General features: G+C 46.3%; 1 pseudogene, besides 3 other annotated features; it reads left to right on the top strand.

Annotated features, from left to right (window-relative positions):
- Positions 603–1,126: an enhancer, noted in NCBI's record as "H3K27ac-H3K4me1 hESC enhancer chr16:46878247-46878770 (GRCh37/hg19 assembly coordinates)". NCBI's record gives its function as "activates a minimal SCP1, AML or CMV promoter by ChIP-STARR-seq in primed H9 embryonic stem cells {active_cell/tissue: H9 hESC(primed)}" and the evidence as "EXISTENCE:reporter gene assay evidence [ECO:0000049][PMID:30033119]".
- CKBP1 (creatine kinase B pseudogene 1) lies at positions 807–1,730 on the top strand (annotated as a pseudogene).
- Positions 1,127–1,652: an enhancer, noted in NCBI's record as "H3K27ac-H3K4me1 hESC enhancer chr16:46877721-46878246 (GRCh37/hg19 assembly coordinates)". NCBI's record gives its function as "activates a minimal SCP1, AML or CMV promoter by ChIP-STARR-seq in primed H9 embryonic stem cells {active_cell/tissue: H9 hESC(primed)}" and the evidence as "EXISTENCE:reporter gene assay evidence [ECO:0000049][PMID:30033119]".
- Positions 5,378–5,578: a silencer, noted in NCBI's record as "peak2574 fragment used in MPRA reporter construct". NCBI's record gives its function as "represses an SCP1 promoter by STARR-seq MPRAs in K562 erythroleukemia cells {active_cell/tissue: K562}" and the evidence as "EXISTENCE:reporter gene assay evidence [ECO:0000049][PMID:32103011]".

Raw genomic sequence — 8,816 nt, 5'->3', positions numbered from 1 at the left:
AGAGCTCAGGGCCGGGCGCGGTGGCTCATGTCTGTAATCCCAGCACTTTGGGAGGCCAAGGCGGGTGGATCACCTAAGGTCAGGAGTTCGAGACCAGCCTGGCTAACATGGCGAAACCCTGTCTCTACTAAAAATACAGAAATTAGCCGGGTGTGGTGGCGGGTGCCTGTAGTCCCAGCTACTCGGGAGGCTGAGGCAGGAGAATGGCTTGAACCCGGGAGGCGGAGCTTGCAGTGAGCCGGGATTGCGCCACTGCACTCCAGTCTGGGTGACAGAGCCAGACTCCGTCTCAAAAAGAAAAAAAAAACCCAAAGAAATAAATTCAAAACCAAAATAATATTTTAAAACAAAGATTGCTATAGAGAAAACAGAAACATAGGGCAGCTCCTTTGGAAAACAGGCAGTTCTTTACAAATTTAAACATAGAACCTGGGTGGCTCACGCCTGTAATCCCAGCACTTTGTTAGGCCGAGGCGGGTGGATCACTTGAGGTCAGTGACTAGCCTGACAAACATGGTAAAACTTCGTCTCTGCCAAAATAACACAAACATTAGCCGGGTGTTGTGGCGGGCTCCTGTAATCCCAGCTACTCGAGAGGCTGAGGCAGGAGAATCGCTTGAACCCGGGAGGGGTAGTTTGCAGTGAGCCGAGATAGGGCCACTGCACTCCAGTCTGGAAAAAAACAAAAACAAAAACATAGTGTTACCATATGATCCCACAATTTCAATACTAAGAATATGCTCATAAGAAAAGTGTACATATGAATGTTGATAGCAGAATTATTTATAACAGTTAAAAAGTGGCCACGCTCAGAGCTGCGGACCCACCGAGCGCCCGCACATGCCCTTCTCCGACAGCCGCGGGGCGCTGAAGCTCGCCTCCCGGCGCAGGACGAGTTTCCCGACCTGAGCGGCCACCAAGACCCAGTGGCCGAGGCGCTGCCCCAGCTGAACGCGGAGCTGCGCGCCAGGGGTGGCTTCGCGCTGGAGGCGCCATCCAGACCCGCGTGGACAGCCCGGGCCACCCGTACTCAGGGCCGTGGGCCGCGTGGCGGCCGACGAGGAGTCCTACGACGTGTTCAAGGATCTCTTCGGCCCCATCCTTGAGGACCGGCACCGCACTACAAGCCCAGCGATGAGCACAAGACCCAGCTCAACCCCGACAACCTGCTGGGAGGCGGCCACCTGGCCCCCAACTGTGTTGAGCTCGCGGTGCGCACGGCCTCCACTTCTGCCTCCCGTGGGTCCCGCGATGGACGCCCTAGAGACTGGTCGGCGACCTGGCGGGCCTGGACGACGCGCGCAGGAGCAGGACCGACGCGGAACAGCAACAGCAGCTCCTCGACAGCCACTTCCTCTTCCACGAGCCTGTACCGCCCCTGCTCCTGGCCTCGGGCATGGCCCAACGCCCGCGGCATCTGGCACAAGGACAGTATAGACCTTCCTGGTGTGGGGCGGCGACGAGGACCACCTGCGGGCCATCTCCGTGCAACAGGGGGGCAAACGAAGGAGGCATTTACTGCTTCTGCCTCGGCCTCTCCCGGTTTGAAACTCTTCAAGTCTAGGAACGACGAGTTCATGTGGAATCCTCACCTGGGCTCCATCCTCACCTGCCCTCCCAACCTGGGCACAGGGCTGCAGGGGCAAGTGTGCACATCAGGCTGCCCCACCTGGGCAAGCACGAGTTCTCGGAGGTGCTTAAGAGGCTGTGGCTTCAGGCTGGGCGCGGTGGCTCATGCCTGTAATCCCAGCACTTTGGGAGGCCAAGGCGGGCGGATCACTTGAGGTCAAGGAGTTCGAGACCAGCCTGGCCAACATGGTGAAACCACCGTCTGTACTAAAAATACAAAAATTAGCCGGGCGTGGTGGTGGATGCCTGTAATCCCAGCTACTTGGGAGGGTGAGACACGAGAATCGCTTGAACCTGGGAGGCAGAGGTTGCAGTGAGCCAAGATCACGCCACTACACTCCAGCCTGGGCGATAGTGCGAGATTCAGTCTCAAAAAAAAAAAAAAAAGAGTCTGTGGCTGGGCGCGGTGGCTCACGCCTGTAATCCCAGCACTTTGGGAGGCTGAGGCAGGCGGATCACCTGAGGTCAGGAGTTCGAGACCAACCTGACCAACGTGGAGAAACCCCTATCTCTACTAAAGATACCAAAAATTAGCTGGGCATGGTGGCACATGCCTGTAATCCCAGCTACTCGGGAGGCTGAGGCAGAAGAACGGCTTGAACCTGGGAGGTGGAGGTTGTGGTGACTGGAGATCGCGCCATTGTATTCCATCCTGGGCGACCAGAGCGTAACTCCGTCTCAAAAACAAAAAACAAAAAACAGTCAGGCGTGGTGGCTCACGCCTGTAATCTCAAAACTTTGGGAGGCCGAGGCGGGCAGATCACGAGGTTAAGAGATCAAGACGATCCTGGCCAACATGGTGAAACTCCATCTCTACTAAAAACACAAAAATTAGCTGGGCGTGGTGGCACGCGCCTGTACTCCCAGCTACACCAGAGGCTGAGGCAGAAGAATAGCTTGAACCCAGGAGGCGGAGGTTGCAGTGAGCCGAGATAGTGCCACTGCACTCCAGCCTGGCGACAGAGAGAGACTCCGTCTCAAGAAAAGGAAAAAAAAAAAGAGGCTGTGACTTCAGAAGTGAGGGACAGACGGTGTGGACGTGGCCGCGGTGGGTGGGGTCTTTGACGTCTCCAACGCTGACCTCCGGGGCTTCTCAGAGGTGGTGCTGGTGCAGATGCGGGTGGGCGTCATAAAGCTGCTCATTGAGATGGAGCAGTGGCATCACCAGGGCCAGGCCACCTATGGCCTAATGCTTGCCCAGCCCGCACCCACCACCAGCCCTTGCTGCTTCCTAACTTATCGCCCGGCCAGTGCCTGCCATGCACCCCTGATGTCGGCCACCTGGCAAGCCCTTAGCCTCGCTGTAGAGACTTCCGTCACCTTGCTAGCATTTTTTTTTTTTAATGGTAAGATATTGCTGACGCTGAAATAAACTAGAATTTTGGCCTAAAAAAAAAAAAAGTAGAAACAATCCAAATGTACATCAACTGATGAATGGATAATAAAATGTGGTATATCCATACAATGGAATATTATTCAGCCATAAAAAGGAATCAAGTACTGATAGATGCTATAACATAGTAAACCTTGAAAACATTATGCTAAATGAAAGAAACCAAACACAAAAGGAATATACTGTAGAATTCCATTTATAGGAAATGACCAAAATAGGCAGATCCAAAGAGACAGAAAGTATTAATAGATTAGTGGTTGTCAGGGGCTGAGAACAGAGAATGGGAAGTGGCTGCTATTGGGTATAAGGTTTCATTTTGTAGGGATGACAATATCTGGGAATTAAATTGTGGTGATAGTTACATAACATCTGTGAATATACTAAAAACTGAATTGCACACTTTAAGTGGTATGTGAATTATATCTCTATAAAGCTACTGTTAAAGCCAGCAGAAGCAGACATTCAATACTTCCCACATAAACATTACTGCTTTTTGGCTTCTTATAAAGGTGCACTAAAACCATAAGATAGGCTGGGCGAGGTGGCTCACACCTGTAATCCCAACACTTTGGGAGGCCGAGGCGGGTGGATCACCTGAGGTCAGAAGTTCGAGACCAGCCTGGCCAACATGGTGAAACCCCGTCTCTACTAAAAATACAACAATTAGCCAGGCGTGGTGGCAGGCACCTATAATCCCAGCTACTCAGGAGGTTGAGATAGGAGAATCGCTTGAACCCGGAGAAGGAGGTTACAGTGAGCCAAGATTGCACCACTGCACTCTAGCCTGGGCAATAAGAGTGAAACTTCATCTCAAAATAAAAAATAAAATAAAATAAAATAAAATAAATAAATAAAACCATAAGATGACAAAGATATTTACTTGGAATGTGGGCCAGACTTGAGTTACTTCTAATAAATAGAATATAGCACATATGATGGTTTGTGACTTTTGAGACTTGGTCATGAAAGTAATTGCAACCTCAGTCTCTCTTTTTTTGGTGGGGAGTGGGGCTGGGAGAGGGGGACAGGCTCTCGCTCTGTCACCCAGGCTGGAGTGCAGTGGCACAACCACAGCTCACTGCGGCCTCAACCTCCTGGGTTCAAGTGATCCTCCGGTCACACAATATTGTGTGAATCTATGGCAAGAATAATAGAACAAGGGCTGGTCGTGGTGGCTCAAGCCTGTAATCCTAGAACTTTGGGAGGCCGAGGCGGGCGGATCACTTAAAGTCAGGAGTTCGAAACCAGCCTGGCCAACATGGTGAAATCCCATCTCTACTAAAAAATCAAAAAAATTAGCCGGGCCTGGTGGTGCACGCCTGTAGTCCCAGCTACTCCAGAGGCTGAGGCAAGAGAATCGCTTGAACCCAGGAGGCAGAGGTTGTAGTGAGCCGAGATTGTGCCGCTGCACTCCAGCCTGGGTGACAGAGCAAGATTTCGTCTCAAAAAAAAAAAAAAATAATAATAATAATAGAAAAATGGAAGCTAGCAAAGTATTTTTCATTGCAACATAATACATGCTGAGATATTGCTAAGATGTGCATTTTGAACATGAAGGTGATACAAAGAAAAAAATTGTTTTCCTGCTTCTTTGGTCACAAACACAGCTAGCTCTGATATTGTCAACAAATGTGGTGTGGAGCTTTAGAACTGTGGAGAAGTACGTTGGATGGCAGAGCTGCAACAAAAAAATACCCTGGAGTAGGTAGCCAGTTTAAGGAGCAAAGATCAAAATGAGAGTGAAAACAATGATTCTTTCCTTAAGAAAGTCATGCTATGAAAAAAAAGTCAGCTGAAATAAACAGTGCAGTTAGGCATATAGTAAAAATTGTGAATTATGTAAAAGTGAATGCATTAAATTTGAGATTATTCTTTTTGTTAGGTGATAATATGGAAGGTGATCATAAACAATTGTTATTGCATGCCATAGTAGCTTGTAGCAAGTCCTGATATCTTTATTATTTATGAATCGTTATTCATGGATGCTGTATTTGCAAATTAGCCTACTCACTAAAATTTATTTGTAATCCCAAAATCAATACTTGAAGTGCTTTTGCGGTCATTCGTGGACATGTTCAGAGTAGTAAAAACATTGAGTTGACTGACACTCCCATTCCCAGCAGTGGTCAAAGTCGACGCTTTGCTTCTTGTTTTGGCTCTCATACTGTAAACAAACGTCCCATTTTGTGGTCTATTTAGTGACACTTTGGGTGGGGGGGTGTTGTTAGTGATTTTGCTGTTTAAAATGGCCTCCAAGTAATCGCGATAACCCCAGAGGCGGAGGTTGCAGTGAGCAGAGATGGCACCGTTGCACTCCAGCCTGGGGAACAAGAGCAAGACTCCATTTCAAAAACAAACAAAAAACCCCTCCAAGCACAATGCTGAAGTGCTGCCTCGTGTTCCAAAGTGCGAGAAGTCTGATGTGCTTTACAGAAAAAATACATGTGTTGGAGAAGCTTCAGGCACAAATTGTTGTGCTGCTGGCCATGAGTTCAATGTTAATGAATGAACAATATGTATTAACTATCGTGTTTTTAAACAGAAGTACACATAGACTAAGGTTCTGGATTAATCTCTTGAGAAAAACGTGACCAGAGGCTTGCAGGAAACGAATCCTGCATATTCCCTGGGAGCAATGGTCAGAATTTGCTAATTCGGTGTTTGCAGTGACTTTCTAGAACATAACTACTGCAAATAACAAGAATCAACTGCATGTCTTTGTGTAGCTCTCTTCCACCAGGCCAGTGAATATGGCCTAACCCTGTGTTACTAATAGAACTCAGTGGGAGCAATTCTCCATGACTTTTTTTTTTTTTGAGGTGGAGTTTTGCTCTTGTTGCCCAGGCTGAAGTGCAGTGGTGTGATCTTGGCTCACTGCAACCTCCACCTCCTGAGTTCAAGCAATTCTCCTGCCTCAGCCTCCCAAGTAGCTGGGATTACAGGCACGCACCACCATGCCTGGTTAATTTTTTGTATTTTTAGTAAAGACGGGGTTTTGCCATGTTGGCCAGGCTGGTCTCAGCCTCCCGGCCTCCCGAAGTGCTGGGATTACAGGTGTGAGCCACCACACCTGGCCGATTCTCCATGACTTCTGAGCCCATAAAAGCCTTGCAGCTTCCACCTTGGTCTCTGGAATACTTGTTATTAGAGCCCTAAACTGCCACATAAGAGGTTTGACTGTGTAAAAGGAGAGACCATACGGCAAGGCTCTAAGTCTATGTGGAGAGGGAGAGGAGCCCAGTTGATTCCAGTCTGCCAAGATATTGGGTATGTGAGTGAAGTCAGTCTGGCCAGGAGATCAGAGGCTGCCTTCCTCCATGCATGCGGTTTGTTTCTGGACACTCAACTCTATTCCACTGATCTGTATGTCTATCCTTCTGCTAGTATTGCACTTGCTTGTTATGTAGGTTTTTAGGTTTAAAATCTGGAAGTGTGAGTCTTTCAGGTTTGCTCTTCTTTTTCAAGATTGTTTCATTATTCTTTTTCAAGCTTGTTTGGGGAAAAAATTCAGAGTCCCTGTAATTTCTATATGAATTTTAGGATCGTTTTGTCAATTTCTGCAGAGAAACCAGCTGGATTTTTATAGGGATTGTGTTCATCAGCAGATCAATTTGGGGAATATTGCCATTTTAATATTAAGACCTCCAATCCAGGAACATGGGATATCTTATTTTTTTAATACATTAAAAAAACAAAACAAAACAAAACTAGAGACAGAGTCTAGCTATGTTGCCCAGGCTGGTCTCAACCTTCTGGGCTCAAGCAGTCTGCCCACCTTAGCCTCCCAAAGTGCTGGGATTACAGGCGTGAGCCACCACACCCAGCCAGGATATCTTTTCATGTATTTAGACCTTTAATTCCTTTCAACAGTGTCTTGTAGTTTTCAGAGTATAAGTTTTACACGTTTTTGTTTTACTCCTAAGTATTTTATTCTTTTTGATGATATTATAAATGGAATTAATTTCATTATCATATTGTTGAGTCCAAGTGTATAGAAATAGATTTGATATTTATATATTGTGTCCTACAACTTTGCTGAACTCATTTATTCATTCTAATAATAGGTTGACTTCTTAGGATTTTCTACATATAAGACAATGTCATCTGCAAATAGAGATAGTTTTGCTTCTTCCTTTTCAATCTAGATGCCTTATTTCATTTTCTTGTCTAACTGCCCTGGCCAGAACTTCCAGTACAATTTTGAGAGATCAACTTTTTTTTTTTTTTTTTCTGAAATGGGGTCTCGCTGCATTGTGCAGGCTGGTCGGAAACTCCTGGGCTCAAGCGATCCTCCTGCCTCAGCCTCCTGAGTAGCTGGAATTATGAGCATGTACCCAGCTTAGTGCCAACTTTTTTTTTTTTTTTTTTAGATGGAATCTCGCTCTGTCGCCAGGCTGGGGTGCAGGGGCGTGATCTTGGCTCACTGCAACCTCCGTCTCCCAAGTTTAAGCGATTCTCCTGCCTCAGTCTCCCAAGTAGATGGGACTACAGGCACGTGCCACCATTCCCAGCTAATTTTTGTATTTTTGGTAGAGACAGGGTTTCACCATGTTGGCCAGGCTGGTCTTGATCTCTTGACCTCATGATCCGCCTGCCTCAGCCTCCTAAAGGGCTGGGATTACAGGTGTGAGCCACCGTGCCTGGCCAAGTGCCAACTTTTAAAGACAAGGATTGGTCAATCAGATGTGCTAATTTTTCTAATATCTTCAGTATTTTAATGATCCTAATATTTTACTTTTTTTTTTTTTCCTGAGACTGAGCATTGCTCTGTCACCCAGGCTAGAGTGCAATGGTGTGATCTCGGCTCACTGCAACCTCTGTTTCCCAGGTTCAAGTGATTATCCTGCCTCAGCCTCCTGAGTAGCTGGGATTACAGGCATGTGCCACCACACCTGGCTAATTTTCGTATTTTTAGTAGAGACGGAGTTTCACCATGTTGGCTAGGCTGTTCTTGAACTCCTGCCCACCTTGGCCTCCCAAAGTGTTGGGATTATAGGCGTGAGCCACTGCACCCAGCCTACTTCTTTTCTAATTTGGATGCCTCTGATTTCTTTTTCTTGCCTAATTTCCTCTGGCTAGAACTTCTAATACTATGTGGAATAGAAGTGAAACCAGGCAACCTTGTCTTGTTCCTGATCTTAAGGGAAAAGCTTTCAGCCTTTCACTATTGAATATGATGTTGGCTGTGGGTCTTTCATATATGGCCTTTAACATGTTGAGGAAGTTTCCTTGTATTCCTAGTTGATTGAATATTTTTTCTTTTTGATTGTGATAAAATATACATAACATAAAATTTACCATTTTAGCCATTTAAAAATGTATAGTTTAGTGTCATTAAGTACGTTGGCATTGTTGTGCAATCATCACCAGCATCCATTGCCAGAACATTTTCATCATCCCATACTGAAACTCCATACCCATTAAACAATAATGTCCCCTTCCCTCCTTCCTCTAGGCCCTGACAACCACTGTTCTACTTTCAGTTTCTATGAATTTCATGACGCTAGGTCTCTCATCTAAGTAGAATCATACAATATTTGGTATTTTGTGTCTGAATTATTTCACTTAGCATCCTGTCTTTGAGGTTCATCCATGTTGTGGTGTCAGAATTTCCTTTTTATGGCTAAATAATATTTTGTTGTATGCACAGTCATGAGTCACTTAACGATGGGGAAATGTTCTGAGAAAGGTGTCATTAGGTGAGTTCATCATTGTGTGAGCATCGTAGAGTGTACTTACACAAGCCTGGATGGTATGGCCTACTATACACCTAGGCTATGTGGTGTAGCCTATT

This window comes from Homo sapiens, chromosome 16 (genome assembly GCF_000001405.40).
Source record: "Homo sapiens chromosome 16, GRCh38.p14 Primary Assembly".
Lineage (NCBI taxonomy): Eukaryota > Metazoa > Chordata > Mammalia > Primates > Hominidae > Homo > Homo sapiens.
The sequence above is the reverse complement of the archived record's forward strand: the minus strand, read 5'-3'. Positions and strand labels throughout refer to the sequence as shown.